Source organism: Homo sapiens, chromosome 4, assembly GCF_000001405.40.
Source record: "Homo sapiens chromosome 4, GRCh38.p14 Primary Assembly".
In the NCBI taxonomy this organism is placed as follows: domain Eukaryota; kingdom Metazoa; phylum Chordata; class Mammalia; order Primates; family Hominidae; genus Homo; species Homo sapiens.
Window position 1 is genome coordinate 40,042,570 of NC_000004.12, and position 20,781 is coordinate 40,063,350.

The 20,781-nt window shown below is 45.3% G+C and overlaps 1 protein-coding gene and 1 pseudogene across 6 annotated transcripts in view, besides 5 other annotated features; one reads left to right on the forward strand and one right to left on the reverse strand.

Moving 5' to 3' along the window:
* Nucleotides 1–347: 347 nt before the first annotated feature.
* LOC344967 (acyl-CoA thioesterase 7 pseudogene) lies at nt 348–14,630 on the reverse strand (annotated as a pseudogene). Its single transcript, NR_027277.2, has 3 exons — nt 14,392–14,630; nt 2,396–2,501; nt 348–1,615 (listed from the first exon to the last, which is right to left on the reverse strand). The product of NR_027277.2 is annotated as an acyl-CoA thioesterase 7 pseudogene (transcript).
* Nucleotides 13,493–13,702: a silencer, noted in NCBI's record as "silent region_15375". NCBI's record gives its function as "represses an Ori minimal core promoter by ATAC-STARR-seq in GM12878 lymphoblastoid cells {active_cell/tissue: GM12878}" and the evidence as "EXISTENCE:reporter gene assay evidence [ECO:0000049][PMID:35858748]".
* Nucleotides 14,043–14,502: a silencer, noted in NCBI's record as "silent region_15376". NCBI's record gives its function as "represses an Ori minimal core promoter by ATAC-STARR-seq in GM12878 lymphoblastoid cells {active_cell/tissue: GM12878}" and the evidence as "EXISTENCE:reporter gene assay evidence [ECO:0000049][PMID:35858748]".
* N4BP2 (NEDD4 binding protein 2) overlaps nt 14,281–20,781 on the forward strand; it is a 133,621-nt gene continuing 127,120 nt past the window's right edge. For all 5 annotated transcript variants that reach the window (XR_007057942.1, NM_001318359.2, NM_018177.6 and 2 more), the window contains exon 1: nt 14,281–14,461. The gene's annotated coding sequence lies outside the window, so the exon portion shown is untranslated. The remainder of the gene's footprint in view (nt 14,462–20,781) is intronic.
* Nucleotides 14,553–14,902: a silencer, noted in NCBI's record as "silent region_15377". NCBI's record gives its function as "represses an Ori minimal core promoter by ATAC-STARR-seq in GM12878 lymphoblastoid cells {active_cell/tissue: GM12878}" and the evidence as "EXISTENCE:reporter gene assay evidence [ECO:0000049][PMID:35858748]".
* Nucleotides 15,093–15,142: an enhancer, noted in NCBI's record as "active region_21471". NCBI's record gives its function as "activates an Ori minimal core promoter by ATAC-STARR-seq in GM12878 lymphoblastoid cells {active_cell/tissue: GM12878}" and the evidence as "EXISTENCE:reporter gene assay evidence [ECO:0000049][PMID:35858748]".
* Nucleotides 15,243–15,342: an enhancer, noted in NCBI's record as "active region_21472". NCBI's record gives its function as "activates an Ori minimal core promoter by ATAC-STARR-seq in GM12878 lymphoblastoid cells {active_cell/tissue: GM12878}" and the evidence as "EXISTENCE:reporter gene assay evidence [ECO:0000049][PMID:35858748]".

The window sequence follows — 20,781 nt, forward strand, 5'->3', positions numbered from 1 at the left end:
GTGATATTATTACATTCAGAGAGCAAGTTGGGATTACAAATAACATTTTTCCAGGTAAATCAGTATATTCTTACGCTTATTTTTTTTTTTGTCTTTTTTTTTCTTCCTTTTTGTGGAGAACGGGGTCTCACTATATCGCCCAGTCAGGTCTTGAACTCCTGGGTTCAAGCTATCCTCCCACCTCTGCTTCCCTGAGAGCTGGGATTACAGGCGTGAGCCATCGCGCCTGGCATAAATCAGTATATTCTTAGTTTTTTCCCCCTTATCTACATTAGTTACCTGATTAAAAATCCTGGATATTTGAGTTCTAGTTTTTTTTTTTTTTTTTTTTTTTTTTTTTTTTTTTTGAGACGGAGTTTTGCTCTTGTTGCCCAGGCTGGAGAGCAGTGGCATGATCTTGGCTCACTGCAACCTCTGCCTCCCAGGTTCAAGAGATTGTCCTGCCTCAGCCTCCTGAGTAGCTGGGATTATAGGCGCCTGCCACCACGCCCAGTTAAGTTTTGTATTTTTAGTAGAGATGGGGTTTTGCCATGTTGGCTAGGCTGGTCTTGAACTCCTGACGTCAAGTGATCCGCCTGCCTCAGCATCCTAAAGTGCTGGGATTATAGGCGTGAGCCACCGAGCCAGGCCTCAAAGCCCTTCTCGTCCTGGGTCTCCGGCACGAGCTGGGGCATGGGCAGCGACCTGCCTTCCTGGCTCAGCGACACTTAGGTGAAGACACTGGCGGCCCTGTAGCGCTTCTGAGAGCTGTCCACAACACAGTCGGCATCCACCAAGACCTCGATCTCTACGGACTTATTGCTCGTGAAGGTCATGCGTCCGGAGATGGTCTTGATGCAGCCTTTTCTGATCTTGTTGTCAAAATTAATGGCCTCCATGGAGGCTGTGACGAGGTTGGTCTTGCAGTGGCGTGCAGCCAAGATCCCGGCGACCTCGTCCATGACCTTCATGGTCACCCCTTCATGCACGAAGCTGTGCAGGGTACAGTCTGAAGGCCCCACCAGGTGGATCAAGCTGGACTGGCTGTAGCTGACAGTGTTCGGCTCTGGGTTGAGGACTGGCTGGACGATGTCCCCGTTCCTCCAGTTGGTCTCCATGCGCTCCAGCTTCTGGGTTTTGTACCGCTTCTGGCCCTCCTCCTCCTGCTCCTGCCGGAAATACACAACAGGAGGCTCTTCGAGGACCTTGTCCACGTTCGTCAGCGACAGGGGCGCATACCAGAGGGTGGCCTTATTGGTCAGCTTTTTGGCACCTGTGAGGATGTTTTCGGACATCATGTTGACCTGCACCTCCACAGAGTGCTTGGAGGTGTAGGTGATCTCCGCGCTGACGTGGGCCACCTCACCGATGCACATGGGCCACAGGAAGTGGGTGCACTCGACCCGAGCCAGAGCGGCCACACAGCGATCCCCGTTCTGCGGATTGCAATGCCGGGTGCTGATGATGGCGCCCGCCTCTTTGATCATCTTCAGGATGGTCCCGCCTAGACATTGCGGGCCACATTAGCGTCCGCATAATCCGGCAGATCTGGATGGCGGTCGGCGTCTTGATGTCTGGGCCAGACATGCTGGCAGCTGTGGCGGTGGCTGCAGGAGGGCGCAGGTGTCTGGCAGGCCTGGCGCGGAATTGAGTTTTAGTGTTGAGAAAATTAAAGTTTTGGTTGTTAAAATGATTGCAGTTTTAGCTAACTTCAATTTTAAAATTCACCAATAATAAAACTATTATTTATCAATAAGTAGAAACGAGTTAGAAAATATTCAATCCCTTCAATTCAGATGGAGAATAAACTAGTATTTTTCGAACACCTGACACATATCGAGCGTTTACTTAGGTATTTGCATCTATAATGCAATTTAATTCTTGCAACTGTCCTGGCCGGGCACAGTGTCTCAGGCCTGTAATCCCACCATTTTGGGAGGCTGATGAGGGAAGATCGCTTGGGCCCAGGAGTTCATAGACCAGCCTGGGCAACATAGTGAGATCCCCATCTCTAAAGAAAACTAAACAAAACAAAACATGTTCTTTTTTTTTCTTTTTTCTTTTTTTTAGACAGGCTGTCACTCTGTCACCCAGGCTGGAGTACAGTGGCGCGATCTTGGCTCACTGCAACTTCCACCTCCCAAGTTCAAGCAATTATCCTGTCTCAGTTTCCCGAGTAGCTGGGATTACAGGCTCTTGACACCAAGCCTGGCTAAAAACCAGTCCTTTAAATTTAGCATCCTGGCTGGGTGCGGTGGCTCACACCTGTAATCCCAGTATTTTGGGAGGCCGAGGCAGGTGGATCACTTGAGCTCAGGAGTTTGAGACCAGCCTGGGCAACATGGCAAAACCCCGTCTCTACCAAAAATACAAAAGTTAGCCGGGCATGGTGGCATGTGCCTGTAGTCCCTGATACCTGGGAGGCTGAGGTGGGATGATCCTTCGAGTTCCAGAGGCAGAGGTTGCAGTGAGCCGAGATAGTGCCAGTGCACCCCAGCCTGGGCAAAAGAGTGAGACCCTTTCTAAAACAAAAAACAAACAAAAAAATTAGCATCCTTATCCCCACTGTAGAATTAAAGAAATTGAGCCTAGGAGCAGTTAAGTATCTTTGCAGAGATCATACATTAATGGGATGGCAGAACTAAAAATATGGATCTACACCTAAGATTTAAAAGCCTGTATTATTTTCCACTTCACCATACTACTTCTGTTAGTAAAAATAACAATGATGATGCTTTGTATCTGTCTTACCTCACATAAATTATAACAAAGCTCCTTAAGGACAGGGGCCATGTCTTATACTTTTATGATATCCCTAATGAATTTTCAAGAAATATTGCTTGAATGGTATGGTTGGTTCCTGGTATTTAAATAATGTTATTCAATTTTTCAATGGTATTTCAATGATAGAAATAAATTACGCTTTTTTAACCTTAGTATTTATAATGCAATTATTCTGACTTATTTCACATGAGAGACAATTTTATCATCCAGTTTAAATTCATCTTACATAAAAAATGTGTGAACAGGCCGAACACAGTGGCTCACGCCTGTAATCTCAGCAATTTGGGAGGCTGTGGCAGGCAGATTGCTTGAGCTCAGGAGTTTGAGACCAGCCTAGGGAGCACGGCAAAACCCTGTGTCTACAAAAAATATAATTATTAGCTGAGTATGGTGGCACATGCCTGTGGTCCCACCTATTAGGAGGCTGAGGTGGGAGGATCACCTGAGCCCAGGGAGTTTGAGGCTGCAATAAGCTGTGATCATGCCAGTCTCCAGTCCAGGAGACAGAGTGAGACTGTCTCAAAAAAAAAAAAAAAAAAAAGCATAAACATATATGCAGCTTTTTTTGCTGCCATTCTGTCATTTTTTGGAGTGTATGATATTTTTGGAGCATTATGATATCATGCTTATATAAAATATATTTAATATATTTAACTTCATTTGCAGGCTATTGAACTCTAGGAGTTGCCTTATGAATACCATTCTGGGACTTTGAGGATTTTCCTAAGTACTTTCCGTCTGTTCAGTACTGGGAATAATAATATAAAATAAATAGTAAGAGGATAGTACTATCTATAGCGTTGAAAACACTGACAGAGAAATGGACTTTGCCTTCAGAAAGGTATTAGCCTCAAAGGTTTAAGTAGTCCTAGAACTTGGAAACATATATCTTTTTTCCTTTTTCTTTTTTCTTTTTTTTTTGAGTCTTGCAGAATTAGCTAGAATGGAAACCCATATTTGAATGTACTAAAATAATTATCACAAGGACTCTTTACCCTGGGATTGGTGCTCTTGCCCTGGCCCTAACGCCTTTCCTTTCAAAACAGAAACCAGACCAAACCAAACAAAAATGTCTCACACTCCTCAAACTCCATTCTATTTAGCAACATTCAGCATTTATCTTTCAGGCAGGTCATCACCAAACATTGAAAAGTCTAACTTCTTAGGCAGGGACTGAGAGGAAAGTCTAGTGGGTGGAATGTGTTACTTGGCCCCAGGCCCAGCTCATATTTTCCATGAACAAACACCACCTTAGCTTAGGGTGAATGTCTTTAACGACACCTCTGGAGCTGGCCTCCCTCAATTTAGGAGATTTTTTTTTTTAAAGTACAATCAAATTTTGAGAACCTAAATAATTTCATTACAAAGAACTTTACATTTCCTTTTAACAAGCATTTACAGAAAAATTACTATGAGGTCAGGCGCAGTGGCTCACGCCTGTAATCCTAACACTTTGGGAGGCCAAGGCACGTGGATCAGTTGAGGTCAGGAGTTCAAGACCAGCCTAGCCAACATGTCAAAAACCCATCTCTACTAAAAATACAAAAATTAGCCGAGCCTGATGGTGCATGCCTGTAATCCCAACTACTTGGGAGGCTGAGGCAAGAAAATCGCTTGACCTAGGGGTGGGAGGTTGCAGTGAGCCGAGATCACGCCACTGCATTCCAGCCCCGGTGACAGAGCGAGACCCTGTCACAAACAAACAAACAAAAACAAAAAAGAAAACCTGCTATGACAGTGAGATTTCTTTGGATGCAACTATCAAGAAACAACTCAAGTTAGCTTAGGCCAAAAAAGGAGAGATTTATTATAAGAATATAGGGATGTTTCGAAGAAACCAAGGAGAGAGATGTAGCTGGCCCCAGGAAAGGCCAAAAACAAGTTGTTGAGAGCCCAGACATTATCTTCTCTCCATCTCTCCAATATCTCTTCTCTGCTTGTTTCTTCTCTCTCGAGCAGCTTCCTCTGCTACCCTGGCCTGACGTAGAATATAGCTGCCTCCAACTCCTGAGTTAATCCTATACAAGCTCAGCAGCACAAAGAAACTGAGAATCGCAAATCTTTTATATTTTTACTTAAATGCTATTTATTTTTACACAGCAAATAGATTTTTTTTTTAAGAGATGGGGTCTTGCTCTGTTGCCCAGGCTGGATGCTCAAGCCATCCTCTCACCTCAGCCTCCAAAGCAGCTGGAACTACAGGCACACACCACCGTGCCCAGCTAATTAAAATTTTCTTCTTTCTTTTCTTTTTTTTTTAAGACCAGGCACAGTGGCTCATGCTTGTAATCCCAGCACTTGTGGGAGGCCGTGGCAGGCTGATCACTTGAGGTCATGGGTTCGAGACCAGCCTGGTCAATATGGTGAGACCTCATCTCTACTAAAAATACCAAAATTAGCTGGGTGTGGTGGTGCGTGCCTGTAATTCGAGCTACTCAGGAGGCTGAGGCAGGAGAATCACTTGAACCCAGGAGGGGTTGAACCTGGGAGGTGGAGGTTGCAAGGTGAGATTAGATTGCACTACTGCACTCCAGCCTGGGCAACAAAGTGAGACTCTGTCACAAATTAAAAAAAAAAAAAAAAAAAATTGGGGCTTGGCGTGGTGGCTCACGCCTATAATCTCAGCACTTTGGGAGGCCAAGGTGGGCAGATCACTTGAGGTCAGGAGTTTAAGACCAGCCTGGGCAACATGGTGAAACCCTGTTCTATACTAAAAATACAAAAATTAGGGCCGGGCGCAGTGGCTCATGACTGTAATCCCAGCACTTTGGGAGGCTGAGGTGGGCGGATCACCTGAGGTCAGGAGTTCGAGACCAGCCTGGCCAACATGGAGAAACCCTGTCTCTACTAAAAATACAAAATTAGTCAGGCGTGGTGGCGCATGTCTGTAATCCCAGCTACTTGGGAGGCAGGAGAATCGCTTGAGCATGGGAGGTGGAGGTTGCAATGAGGCAAGATCGTGCCATTGCACTCCAGCCTGGGCAACAAGAGCAAAACTCTGTCTCAAAAAACAAAACAAAACAAAGCAAAACAAAAATTAGCCTGGCATGGTGGCAGGCACCTGTAATCCCAGCTACTCTGGAGGCTGAGGCAGGGAGAATCGCTTGAACCTAGGAGGTAGAGGTTGCAGTGAGCCGAGACGTGCCATTGCACTCCAGCCTGGGTGACAGAGCGTGACTCTGTTAAAAAAAAAAAAAATCAGCTTGGTGTAGTGGCGTGTGCCTGTAATCCTAACTACTCGGGAGGCTGAGGCAGGAGAATCACGCAGCGAGACTCCGTCTCAAAAAAAAAAAAAAAGGGCGGGTGCAGTGGATCACGCCTGTAATCCCAGCAATTTGGGAGGCCGAGGCAGGTGGGTCACCTGAGGTCAGGAGTTCGAGACTAGCCTGGCCAACATATTGAAACCCTGTCTCTACTAAAAATACAAAAATTAGCTGGGCGTGATGGTGCACATCTGTAATCCCAGCTACTCGGGAGGCTGAGACAGGAAAATCCCTTGAACCCAGGAGGTGGAGGTTGCAGTGAGCCGAGATTGCGCCACTGCTCTCCAGCCTGAGCGACACAGTGATACTGCCTCAAAAAAAAAAAAAAAAAAAATTGGTACATTAGCCTGGCATGGTGGTTTGTGTTTGTAGTCCTGGCTACTTGGGAGGCTGAGGCAGGAGGATAGCTTGAGCCCTAGAAGTTAGGCTGTAATGAGCTGACATCGTGCCACTGCACTCTAGTTTGGGCAATAGAGCAAGATCCTGTCATGAAAAATAAATAAATATATAAAATTGGTTCAGTGAAAAGTCTCTTCATCCTCTTTCCTCTAGCCACCATTTGCTTTCTCAAAAGCAATTAATGGAGCAGTTTGTTCTATCTTCTTCTTGAGATATTCTATGTATATGTGATAAAAGCCATCCATCCATCCATCCATCCATCCATCCATCCATCCATCCATCCCATCCATCCCATCCATCATCATATCTTTCTACCTACCTACCTATCTATATTTATCTATCTTTTCCTCCTCTCCATTTTTTTTACACTAATGGCAGCATACCATACACACAGTGAGCAATATATCTTGGAGATGGTGCAGTATGAACATTTAGAGTGACATCATCCTCTTATATTGTGGCATTCTGCTCTTTTCATCTAACATACTGCATTTAACCAGTTCCCTGTAGGTGGGCATTTAGGTTTTTCCCCCATCTTTTGCTATATTACAAACAATGCTGCACATATGTAATTTAAAAATATGCTTAAGAGTAATTTGTATTTCTTTTTCTGTGAGCAGTCTTTTTTATAATGTGTCCATTTTTTACTATTGGGTCGTTAGTCTTTTCCTTATTGATTTCTACATGTTTGTATATTAGAGAAATCAGCCCTTTGTCTCCGATGTGAATTGCATTTTTTCTTGTTTATTATTTGTATTTTGATTTTACTAATGGTCTTTGTCCCAATTCTAAAATTTCCCTGGAAGAGACTAATTGGATTAAAACACCCACTCTTGGTTAACTGTGGTGAAGGAAGTAGAGTGATTTTTCAAAACCCTGGAGTCTGGTCCTGTAGAATTGGGGGAAGAGGGTACAACTGACTAGGAAATTGTAAGCTAGGAAGGTACCCTAAAAGGAGTTTAGTACATTTCAATGTGTAAGGTATGTTTTCTAGTTACTGTGGATACATATTTTGTCTAGGGGAAGAGAGTTCACAGTTTTAGCAAAGATACAGACCAACAAATAATCATCACTGCAATTAAGAGAAGTACACAGACATTGCTGTGGGCATAGAAGAAATCATTCTCTTTGGGAGGCCAAGGTGGGAGGATCACTTGAGCCTAGAATTTGAGACCAGCCTGGCCAACATGGTGAAACCCTGTCTCTATGAAAATACAAAAAAATTAGCCAGGTGTGGTGGTACACACCTGTAATCCTAGCTACTTGGGAGGCTGAGGCAGAATTGCTTGAACCTGGGAGACAGAGGTTGCAGTGAGCCAAGATCATGCCACGGCCCTCCAGCCTGGGTGACTCTCAAAAAAAAAAAAAAATAAAATAAAATAAATAAATAAATAAACCGTTCTATTTGGGGCATCCAGAAAAGCTTTACAGGATAAAAGGGCATTTGGGTTGGGTTGTAAACACAAATGAAAGTGAATGACTAGGTTAGCCAATGGTTCAACATCCCTGGAAAGGATGTATTGTGAGGTGTGTGATTGTCTCAAATAGAGGAGTAATATAACTGACAGAAGAATGTTAGCAGGTATGGTTACAGGATGTATAGTTTCCCTATTGGCAAGTGATAGGCAAGTGATATGAAAACTTGGCTGGGTGCGGTGGCTCATGCCTGTAATCCCAGCACTTTGGGAGGCCGAGGTCGGTGGATCACCTGGGGTCAGGAGTTTGGAGATCAGCCTGACAAACATGGTGAAACTCCGTCTCTACTAAAAATACAAAAATTAGTCAGCTGTAGTAGCAGGCGCCTGTAATCCCAACTACTTGGGAGGCCGAGGCAGGATAATCGCTTGAACCCGGGAGGTGGAGGTTGCAGTGAGCAGAGATCGCGCCACTGCACTCCAGCCTGGGCAACAGAGCTAGACTCCGTATTAAAAAAAAAGAAAAAGAAAACTTACAGTTACATAAAGCTGGAGCTCCCACAACATGCTTACAGACAAGAGGTATGGCTTCCCGTAAAGTTTCTCACGAAGACACAGAATTGTTGTTGCTATCACACTCAAAGAAGGAGGATTATCCTGGGAATAAGGAAGCTATCCTTGGCATTATCCAGACTTTTTTTTTTTAATACTGTTTTTGCCAATCCTATCTCCACCCTTTCTTGTCAAGTTTGGAGACTGCCTCATGCCTGTCCATTCATGTACAGAGAAACTGGGTAAAACAAAGGTCAATTTCTCAAGAGCATTTCTCAGGAGACCTACATTTCAGGCTTATTTGAGGTCATTTTTGCAGGAGTGGCAGCATTTGGAAGCAGAGGTGAGGGGGTTTGGATTTTATCTTCAAATATGTAGACAAGTGTTTCCTCCAAAATGTGATATAAAATCACATGTCCTGGGATACTCTCTATGAATAAAGGATTTGCGGTCAAGTAAGTTTGGAAATATTTACTAGTATATCCTTTTCTTAGAGTTCCTAGGCACATTGGCATATTAAAAGCTCTGAGAATTTATTCAAAGAAAAAACAGAGTGCAATGAGAAGCCCTTCAGTTTAAAAGCAATGCATAACTATTTATCCCTATTGAGAAAAGCTAGTAGAAATTAGAGGAGCTGTGAAGTTTGTGAGAGGAGAGAGACACAATCAGATTTGGTTTTTCATAAAGTTTTCACTCAGACTGGAATGCCATTGATATTTATTTTTAGAAGTTATCTTTTTTTTCTTTTCCTTTTTTTTTTGGAGACAGTGTCTCACTCTGTTGTCCAGGCTGGAGTGCAGTGGTGCAATCTTGGCTCACTGCAGCCTTCACCTCCCAGACCCAGGTGATCCTCCCACCTCAGCCTCCTGAGGAACAGGGACTACAGGCACATGCCACCATGCCCAGCTAATTTTTGCATTTGTTGTAGAGATGGAGTTTCACCATGTTGTCCAGGCTGCAAAAGTTATCTTCTTTTGGTAGATTTTCTTAGTACCCTATTCCTTCCTTTAGGATATTTGTTTCCTTATTATTATTTTAACAGCCTTTATGCTTGCCTTTTTTTTTTCTTTTTTTTGAGACAATGTCTCACTTTGTTGTCCAGGCTGGAGTGCAGTAGCGCGATCTCAGCTCACTGCAACCTCTGCCTCCTGGGCTCAAGTGATCCTCCCACCTCAGCCTCCCAAGTAGCTGAGACTGTAGGTCCATACCACCACACCTAGCTAATTTTTGTATTTCTTGTAGAGATGGAGTTTCCCCATGTTGTCCAGGATGGCACCTTTTATAGATAAATAATTGCACTAAGAAAATTACATTTTCTTTATGATTGAGTCCACTAATATCTGTGAGTAATAACTACTATTTATTAAGCCTCTTTTATGTACATTTATTATTTTAATTAATCAGAATGTAGCTTTTATGAATGCTATTTGAGAGATGAGAAAACTGAGTATTTGAGAGTTTAAGTAATTTTCCCAAGGTCAGAGCTTGATGCACCCTGGGTTGAGTGTGGTAAAGAAATCTTACATAAAGATAAAACCCATTGATATTTATTTACTTTAGATAATGGCAATATTATCTACTATTCGGTTTCCACTAAATTTAAAATGGAAAAACACAATAATTCCAGCATATGTTGGTCCTACTTTCTTTTAGTAAAGTTCTTGCAACAATACTATTCTTTTTTTTTTTGAGATGGAGTCTCACTCTGTCACCCAGGCTGGAGTGCAATGGCACGATCTTGGCTCACTGCAACCTCCACCTCCCGGATTCAAGCCATTCTCCTGCCTCAGGCTCCTGAGTAGCTGGGACTACAGGCAAGAGCCACCACACTCAGCTAATTTTTGTATTTTTGGTAGAAACGGGGTTTCAGCATGTTAGCCAGGCTGGTCTCCATCTCCTGACATCGTGATCCGCCCGCCTTGGCCTCCCAAAGTGCTGGGATTACAGGTGTGAGCCACTGCGCCTGGTCAACAATACTATTCTTAGTTGGGAATGAAAACAGTGTCATTAGCCATTATGTAGAAGAGGAAAAAATCCTGACACAGATTTTCTTGATTTGCCATATGTCTTGTCATAGAGTGATGCTCACTTATTCTTTCACTCAGTAAACATTCATGGAGTGTTTATATTGCACAAGGCTGGGAGTCTGACAATGAGGAATACAAGGCTGAATGGGAAACTTCAAGGCATTGATGACTTAGTAAGGGAGATTATAAACACATGAATAATTAAGTGGAATGCTTCAAGTCATAATCCAAGTATAGGAATACAAAGGTGGCATAGATTATTAATATTTTTGGTTGGAAGGAAATCATACCTATGTTCTAAACATAAACACAGACAATCATGTTTAGAATTTAGCTGTTACATAGACCAAAGTTGGACTTAGGTAAATATAAAAGGTTTACTTTTGACGACTTGGCAGTTTTTTTTTTTTTTTTTACAAAAATCCAAGACATTTCCCAAAATATAAACTTTTTTTTTTTTTTTTTCTTTTTTTTTTTGAGACGGTGTCTGGCTCTGTCGCCCAGGCTGGAGTGCAGTGACACAATCTTGGCTCACTGCAAGCTCCGCCTCCCGGATTCACACCATTCTCCTGCCTCAGCCTCCCGAGTAGCTGGGACTACAGGCGCCCGCCACCACGCCCAGCTAATTTTTTGTATTTTTAGTAGAGACGGGGTTTCACCGTGTTAGCCAGGATGGTCTCCATCACCTGACCTCGTGATCCGCCTGCCTCGGCCTCCCAAAGTGCTGGGATTACAGGCGTGAGCCACTGCGCCCGGCCCAAAATATAAACTTTAGTCTTTCCTTAAAGGTAAGTTTTTAATCTAAAATGCCAGGATTCATTTTAATGTATTAAGTAGTAGACATTTTACCATTCCTCAGATTTATCTGGCATTTTAGATATATTGTCACATAATTCTAACAAGACCAATTGTAATAAAACCAACTGGAAGACTGAAGAGAATGTGAGCAGGTGTGGCACCCACAAGATAGTCAATAATTCTTTTTTTGAGATGGAGTCTTGCTCTGTTGCCCAGGCTGGAGTGCAGTGCCGCAATCTCGGCCCACTGCAACCTCAGCCTCCCCGGTTCAAGCGATTCTCTTACCTCAGCCTCCCGAGTAGGTGGGACCATAGGTGTATGCCACCACGCCCAGCTACTTTTTGTATTTTTAGTAGAGACGGGGTTTCACTGTATTGGCCAGGATGGTCTCAATTTCCTGATCTCGTGATCCCATCCGCCTGCCTCAGCCTCCCAAAGTGCTGGGATTACAGGCGTGAGCCACTGTGCCAGGCCCTATTCTTAAATGTCTTCTTTGAAATTTAAAGAGACACGGCCCGGTGCGGTGGCTCACGCCTTTAATTCCAGCACTTTGAGAGGCCGAGGTGGGAGGATCACCTGAGGTCAGGAGTTAGAGGCCAGCCTGGACAACACAGAGAAACCCTTCCTCTACTAAAAATATAAAAATTGGCTGGGTTTGGTGGCAGACGCCTGCAATTCCAGCTATTCGGGGGGCTGAGGCACGAGAATCACTTGAACTCGGGAGGCGTTAAGTTGAAGTGAGCTGAGACTGTGCCACTGCACTCCAGCCTGGGCAACAGAGCAACTCTAGTCACCGCCCCCCCGCCGCCCCAAAAAAAAAAGAAATTTAAAGGGACATGAACTTCAATGAGAACGAGCATGATAACCAAAACCTTTATCCCAGATACTAATCTAATGCTGATTGATGCTTCACCCTTTAAAAGACGTGTTGTACTTTTCCCATTGGCTTAGAATTTGAACCAATAAGAAAGGAGGAAATCTTTATAAATATTCACAACCGAAGGCTGATACTGCGAATGTTGAGTGAAGATTGCTTTGTTCTTCATTCCAGTCTCACTTTCAGAACTTTATGGTGTTGATGTTCTTCTTATTGCCATAGTAAACAAACTTTAAAAACATTCAGCTTGGGTGTTGTCTTTGTGGCTTGAAATATATTTTCCAATGTTAAGAAGAGTTTATTTCTTATTGTTCTGACTTAAGATTTGATGAATCCTTAACAGATGTTCAAAGGAAAATAATTTAAATGCTAGTTTTTATTATCATGGTGAACATATTTCAAAAACAAAATATTAATTTCCTCGACATCTTTCAAGTTTATAATTACTAGGGTTCTTTCATTTCTAAAGTGGCATATATTACAGTTTTTAGTCTCTTATAATGGTTGTTTAGAGGCAGAGTTAATGTTAGCTTCTCAGCAACAGCTATTTATCTCTTGAGATTCTGGGTTATTACAATTTTTTGTTTTTGAAATTTAATAAAAGCATTAAGGGGTTTTTGTATAGTGATTTTTTTTTAAGGATGAACATGAAGTCTGTGATTTAACACTGGGACTCGAGACCTCTAAATACAAAATTCATACAAAAGGAAAAATTCCCCTATTTTTCTATATGGATGGTTTCATCAGAAAATTTATCTTCTTGAGTTCTCTCCTTATATATTACTAGTTTCTTGAAAAAGCACTACAACGTTCTCATTGTGAATAAGTGTTCCAGTTAGACCTAAACGACAAAAACCACTTGCACTTGCCCCAAATTTACACTCTGTTTAAAGCAACTGCCATAACAACCAACAATGTATCTTCGATGCAAAGGGACACTTTGTCATGAGGTTATTTCGCTTCTCTATTCTGGGAAAAACCACTGCAAGTGGAATGAAAAGTAACCGCAAAGGGAGGGGACGGAGGAAGTAAAAAACAGGCAAAACCACCACCACTACCATCACCACCACCACCACCAACCAGAAAGCAAAGGTGAAAAATTTGCGTACCCTGAAAACACTAAACATTTCACATCAGAACCCAGAACAAATAAACCAGGGAAAGCAGAGTTGAGAGAAAAAAAATGGTGCAGGCTTGGGGACGGACTCATACTACAGCGGTCGCAAGAGGGAAGAGCACGTCTTTGCTTTTTCTTGGCATCCGAAAACTCAAGCTCGAACTGGGGGCAAAGGCCAGCGGCTGCGGTTCCACCGGCTAAGGCGCACACATTCCCCGAGCTCAGACCGCACGCTGGCAGGGCCGATGGGGCTGGGCAGCCTCCCTCCACCCCGTGGCAGTCGCCTACCCCTTTGTCTCCCCGTGGGGCTCCGAGGCCGCGCGCCCGGAAGCCCCCCGCGGGAGGGCCGCGCGCGAGAAGGCGGGTTCCCGTGCCCGCCGCAGCGGCCACGGCCCTAGTCAGGCAATGCCGAGGCCGGTCGCTCGCCTCGCCGTCCCTCCCAACTTGCAGCCTGGACCCCGCGCGCGTCAGGGCTCGTCCCAGCTCTGCTTTCCTTTCTCCCCTCACCTCGCGAGGCCGACCTTGTGTTTGTTTTGTTTTTTGGGGCTCGGGAGAGTGCCGAGGGCTAGAAACAGCTGTGGTTTACCGCGCCGCTTATTTTGGCAAAAATTCCGGGCCTGTTGCAATGTTCCCCAGCGCCAAACAGCTCCCGCCTTCCCCCCAAGCAGAACCCGACACTCGAAGAAGGGCTTGCTCCTCCAGGGACCCCCTGATAAGAAAAGTGGGGACCACGGCCCGCTCTCGGGCGAGACTTGGGGGGTGGGCGACCGGAAGCAGCCGAACCGGCCGGGCAGGGCTTGCTCTCCAACGGGAGAGCGGGAGCGGGAGAGGTGGGAGCGCCCGCGGGCTCAAGTCCCCCGGGCCGCCGCGCCGAGGCGGAGCTCGGGGACGAAGCAGAGGTCGTGGCGGACAGCCGGCGGGCTTGGGGGGGGGCGGTGGGCGGCGATCCACCTGGGCGACGTGGCAGCCATTGCCGGCGCCTCGAGACCCCTCCCCACCCGGCCGCCCACCCGCCCTCTCGCGGCGGGCTTCTGCGCGGCTGCTCTTCCCCGGCCGGACGGAGAGCGGCAGTGTCTCCCCGCCGGGCGCGCTCGCCGTGTCTCCCCCGCGGCCGCAGCTGCTTGCTAGCCTTGCGCGGCGCGGGAGAGCGCAGTGGCGCCGGCGGGAAAGGGCTGCGGACCTGCGGCGCCGCGTTGTGCGTTCGACGACGCGGCACCGGCTTCGACGCCCTCTGCCCGCTCCAGAAGCAGGTAAAGGCGGCGGGTGGGAGGCAGGGAGGCGGGTCCAAGGTGAGGGCCCTGGAGGTTAGGGGTCCCGGGGCTCCGAGCCGAAGCGGAGGGCCTGAAGCAGCGGCGGGCGGCGCGGCGAATGAACCCCCAAGCCCTGAATGTGGGGCCCGGCGCGGGCCGCCTCCGATCTGACCCGCGGGCCCGGCTGCCCGGACGGAAGGGAAGTGAGGCGTCGGCGAGAGGCGGGCCCTGGCGCTCAGCCCGAGGCCGGGCGAAGGCGGGGGCCGCGGCCGCTTCCTTGGCCTCCGAGTGCCTGGCGGGCCTCCAGGCCCCAGACACACCCCTCTCGACCCCCCGAGGTTTCCTCCCAGATCTGTTCCCGCCGGGACCTGACCTTGCGCCCCTCCAGGCGCCTTAGGTGTTTGCCAGGCGGAGCCTTCTGGGAACTTCAGGCCACCTTCCTGAGCACATAGTCCTAGCAGAGCCGTTTATTTACTCAGTTCAAGTCCAGACACACAGCCACTCACACGTTCGGATTTTGGAGACTGCGGGGAGACTTTCCCCTCCCCGGCATTTGTGTGTCTTTGGCCCTCGTCCCGCCTCCCCTGCCCCCATCTGCAACTTTGTCCCTCAATGGGACCCTTCTAGAGCCCCTCTCTCATCGGGACTCTCTCTAAGCCGTCCGTTTGGAAATTCATCCTCAATAGAGTGAGTCATCTTAGCGGGGGCACAGTTTATCTCTCATGCGCTTTTGGTTAAAATAGTTTTTTTTTTCCCTCCGAAAGAGAGCTAGAGTAATAGAATGTAGATGACAGGTCAGTGTCAGTGTTGGCTTCAAAGGCTCTTCCTTTCGGCGGCAGTCTTTGTAACTAGGATCTGATATTTGTGGCACGGACAGGTTTGTACACATTCTCGCCATGCAGTGGTTGTAATGTCTCCATGGCACAGTTCTGGCTTGAAGGCAGGATTGGCTGCTTTTTCTACTCGACATCTTTGAGCCAATCAGCAAGGGCTGCTTGCCTGGAGACTGGTTAACTCAGTAAAGGTGGCCATTGGTTGAGCTCCTAGAAGAAAATCCTGGAGATGAACCTAGCCTCTCAGAAAACAATGACTGATTTGCAGCTGTATTAAAAAAATGTTTTCTTTTAATCCCAACATCAGCCTTTTCACTCCGTTTTTATTACTTCCAGTGTTTTTCTTTCAAACACCAGCTGTCTTTTGTAACTCGTTTTAACTCTCATCCTTTAATTTTAACTAAAAGACGCGCTTTAGGAAATGTAAACATCGTGTGTTCTGTGTTTTGATAAACGTGGTTCCATCTGCCTTTCTAACATTGTTTACTGCTAAAGGTCAGAAATAAACAGTTTTGAGTTTCGCTGCCAGGACCTTTTATTATTTAAGTGCCGTGCTAGGATGGGGGGTAGGAGCGAGGGGCTGTAGTGGTGGACATGGTGGGAAGAATAGGAAATAAATGGCTGCTCTTTTGCAAGGAGGCTACAATTTAGTTAATGAAAAAAGACTAACCTGTAAAACAATAAAGAATAAAGCAGTTGAAATCAGCACGCAGTACGTACGAATGCCAGTTTGTGTACTTGTTGACTTTAGTTAATTTGAAGGGGAGATAGAAGTACTGTATTTCATAGAAAAAGTGGGCTTAAGTTATGGTAGAGGCATGTTTTTTCCTTCATTAAAGTATATTAAAGTAGGCATAGTATCTTGTATGTACACAGTAGAAGCTAAATATTATCACTAGTTGCATGTTTTTTTTTTAGTATTTATTTTAAATCTAAATACTGTTACATAGTTGCATCTTATTTATTTATTTTTTTGAGACAAGGTCTGGCCGTATCGCCAAGGCTGGAGTGCAGTGGCACTATCTCAGCTCACTGCAACGTCTGCCTCCTGGGCTCAAGCCATCCTCCCACCTCGTCCCCTAGAGTAGCTGGGACTAGAGGCGAAAGCCACTACGCCCGGCTAATTTTTGTATTTTTTGTAGAGAGGAGGTTTCGCCATGTTGCCCAGGCTGGTCTCAAACCCCTGAGCTCAAGCAATCCAACTGCCTCCGCCTCCCAAAGTGCTGGGATTACAGGAGTGACCACCACGCCCGCCCGGCCGTTTTAAAACGCTGATTATTTTCCTTTTAAAATCTCCCTTTTCATCATGATTAGCCATGATTATGCATGTTTTTTGATATGCAAAGCAGCAACCATTTATTAGTTAATGAATTTCAGAAAAATAGCTATCTACCTTCTTTGCTTTCCTTTCAGCTTTTTATATGCAAAATCATATTGTAAGTCTTGGGAAGAATCAGTTGTCTATTAAATGCCTTTAGAAGTAGTTTATGTTAGGAATTTAAGAAGAGATTGAGCATTTTTTATGTATGTATGTATGTATGTATTTTGAGACAGAGCCTCACTCTGTCGCCCAGGCTGGAGTGCAGTGGCGCTATCTTGTCTCAGCCTCTGGAGTAGCTGGGATTACAGGTGCTCAACACCACACCTGGCTAACTTCTGTATTTTTAGTAGGGATGGGTTTTTGTCATGTTGGTGAGGCTGGTCTGTAACTCCTGGCCTCAAGTGATCCGCCCGCTTTGGCCTCCCAAAGTGCTAGGATTACAGACATGAGCCACCCCGCCTGGCCTTAGATTGAACACTTTTTTGATACCTACCTTGCCTGATAATGAGTAAGCATACATCAAGCCATGTATCATTATCAACCTCATTGCCCTCGTCCTCATAGTAATGAAGTGGCTTATGTGTATGTACACACACATGCACACCAGGTGCTGTTTTAAGCACTTTGCATATGTGATTGTATTTAATTCTTACAACTCTGAGATTTGCACTATTCTTACAGGGGAGGAGACAGAGACTGAGAAGTATTAAGAAAGTTGCTGAAAGTTACCCGACTAGTGTGTGGGAGTGTTATGTATGTATCAGGTAGGTTTCAGTCAAACTTAGATCTTTGTGACCCAAAACCTTATTCTTTTTTTTTTTTCTTTTTTTAAAGAGACAGGGTCTCACTATGTTGCTCAGGCTGCTCTCGAACTCCTGAGCTCAAGCAGTCCTCCTGCCTCAGCCTCTCAAGGCGCTGAGATTACAGGCGTGAGCCACTGTGCCTGCGCCTTGGGAAGAGTATTTTACTTTCTTACCTATCTCAGCATTGCCCTCCAGAAATTATTTTATTAGAACTGTACATCTAGATTGTGGTTAATCAATTCTATCTGAGCTCTCATACTTCATTTATTTTTTTTGAGATGGAGTCTCACTGTGTTGCCCAGGCTGGAGTGTGATGGTGCCATCTTGGCTCACTGCAACCTCTGCCTCCCAGGTTCAAGCAATTCTCCTGCCTCAGCCTCCCAAGTAGCTAGGATTACAGGTGCACACGATCACGCCCGGCTAATGTTTTTATTTTGAGTAGTGATGGGGTTACACCTTGTTGGTCAGGCTGGTCGTGAACTCCTGACCTCAGGTGATCCACCCACCTTGCCCTCCCAAAGTGCTGGGATTACAGGCATGAGCCACTGTGCCCGGCCGCACATACTTTAAAAATTAAAAGAGGCTTTAATAAATTTATGTGGCTAAGTAGCTAGATTTTTTTTTTTTTTTTTTGAGACAGGGTCTCCCTCTGTTGTCCAGGTTGGAGTGCAGTGGCATGATTATAGCTCACTGTAGCCTTGAATTCTTGGGCTCAAGGGATCCTCTTGCAACAGCCTCCCGAGTAGCTGGGAGTATAGGCACATACCGCTGTGCCTGGCTCATTTTTAAAATTTTTTTGTAGAGACAGGGTCTCGCTGTGTTGCTTAGGCTGGTCACAAACTTGTGGGCTCAAGCAGTCTTCTCACTTCAACCTCCCAAGTTGCTGGGAATATGGGCCCGAGCCATCACGCCTGGCCTGTTTTTCTAAACGTGGATTGTATGAGCATATCCTTTGATCATGTATTAGCTGCTTTTCTTTTCTTTTCTTCTTCTTTTTTTAAAATTTAAATTGAGACGGGGTGTTGCCATATTGCCCAGGCTGGCCTCAAACTTCTGGGCTCAAGCAATCCTCCCACCTTGGCCTCCTAAAGCCCTAGAATTACAGGTGTGAGCCACCACCCTCAGCTGGCTGTTTTTCTTAAAACTTTATGCAAGCCCCAGATTTAAGGTTATTAGTGTCTTTATTATTATTATTATTTTGAGGTAGAGTCTTGCTGTGTTGCCCAGGCTGGAGTGCAGTGGCATAATCTTGGCTCACTGCAACCTCTGCCTCCCAGGTTCAAGCGATTCTCCTGCCTCAGCCTCCCGAGTAGCTGGGATTACAGGTGTCCACTGCCATGTTCGGCTAATTTTCATATTTTTATTTCATTTTATTTATTTATTTATTTATTTTTGAGATGGAGTCTCGCTCTTGTTGCCCAGTCTGGAGTGCCATGGCATGATCCCAGCTCACTGCAACCTCCGCCTCCTGGGTTCAAGTGATTCTTCTGCCTCAGCCTCCCAAGTAGCTGGGATTACAGATGTGCACCACCACGCCCAGCTAAGTTTTGTATTTTTAGTAGAGATGGGGTCTCACCATGTTGGCCAGGCTGGTCTCAAACTCCTAACCTCAGGTGATCCGCCCGCCTCAGCCTCCCAAAGTGCTGGGATTGCAGGCTTGAGCCACTGTGTCTGGCGTATTTTATTTTTTTTTTTGGGTGGAGTTTTGCTCTTGTTGCCCAGGTTGGAGTGCAGTGGTGTGATCTCGGCTCACTGCAACCTCCGCCTACCACATTCAAGTGATTCTCCTGCCTCAGCCTCCCGAGTAGCTGGGATTACAGGCACCTGCCACCACGCTTGGCTAATTTTAGTATGTTTAGTAGAGATGGGTTTTCGCCATGTTGGCCAGGGTGGTCTGGAACTCCTGACCTCGGGTGATCTGCCTGCCTCGGCCTCCCAAAGTGCTGGGGTTACAGGTGTGAACCACCATGCCTGGCCATTAGTGTCTTTTTTTCTTGAAAATATTTGCATTAATTTGCTGCTTTATTTATTTTTTGGTTTTATTTATTTATTTATTTTTGTTTTGTTTTTACTGCTTTATTTTTTGGTTACTTTTTTTTTTTTTTTCTTGAGACGGAGTCTCGCTCTGTCACCTAGGTGGGAGTGCAGTGGTGCGATCTTGGCTTGCTGCAATCTCCGCCTCCTGGGTTCAAGCGATTCTCCTGCCTCAGTCTCCTGAGTAGCCGGGACTACAGGTGCCCACCACCACGCCCGGCTAATTTTTTGTATTTTTAATAGAGATGGGGTTTCACCGTGTTAGCCAGGATAGTCTCGATCTCCTGACTTCGTGATCCTCCTCTCTTTAATATCTCTTGAATCTGTTCCTTTTCCCTATCCTCGCTGCTGCCCTCCTACTCCATGGTTAGTATCATGTCTCACCTGGGTTGTTGCACGAGCCTCCTAACAGCTCATCCCTGCTTTCAGTCTTCCAATGCATTTTTCCCACTGTAGCTAGAGTAATCTGTCTAACACATTACTCCTCTGCTTAAAACTTTTTTGTGACTTTTCATGGCCTTTAGGATAACTTCTGAACTTCTTTTTTTTTTTTTTTTGAGACTTCTGAACTTCTTCACTTGGCTTTCAGGATCCTCATGATTTGGATCCTTATTGACACTTGGCTGTCAGTGTGCTAGCCCTATTAAGTTCCTTGTATTTCTCCCTGAAGGGGTCAGAGTTCTTAAATCTGCACTTGAGTTCAGAAGCTTCTATCTGTCTGGAATACCTTTCCTAGTTTGTTCCTTACCCTCACTTTTGTTTTATTAACTCAGGCTTGTCTTTCAGGTCTCAGCCTAGGTGGTAGCTCTAGGAGAAAGCCCTCGGATACTTCAAGTCTGAGTTACATGGGCCTCCTCTTTGTGTCCTTAGCACTCCATGTTCTTTTATTACATTGTGATTGCTTGCTTATTTGTCATCTCACCACATAGCGGTAAATGGACTGTCTTAAAAAATGATGTGATTTGCATAGAGTGTATTGAAAGAGAATGAAATAGTAATTTTGGGGTTTATCTAATACAGAGAGGAAAGGGACATTATATTTGATAGATGAAAGTTTTCTAAGCCAGAGAAGGCATACCAGGCCCTTTTATAGCCTGAATGAAAAAATCCTTTGATGTCTAATTTTTATCAATTTGGTTTCTCTATTTTATTAGTTAGGACTTTTTGGTGTTCAAGTAACAGAAATACAGCTTGAAGTAGCCTGTAGGGGAAAAAGTTATTGGTTCATATGACCATATAATAGGCATTGTATGAATAAGGATGGCCATGAAGAGCTAGGGTGGGAACTTTCCCATAGTTGGGACCTTTCCGTACTTATACTCTGTGCAT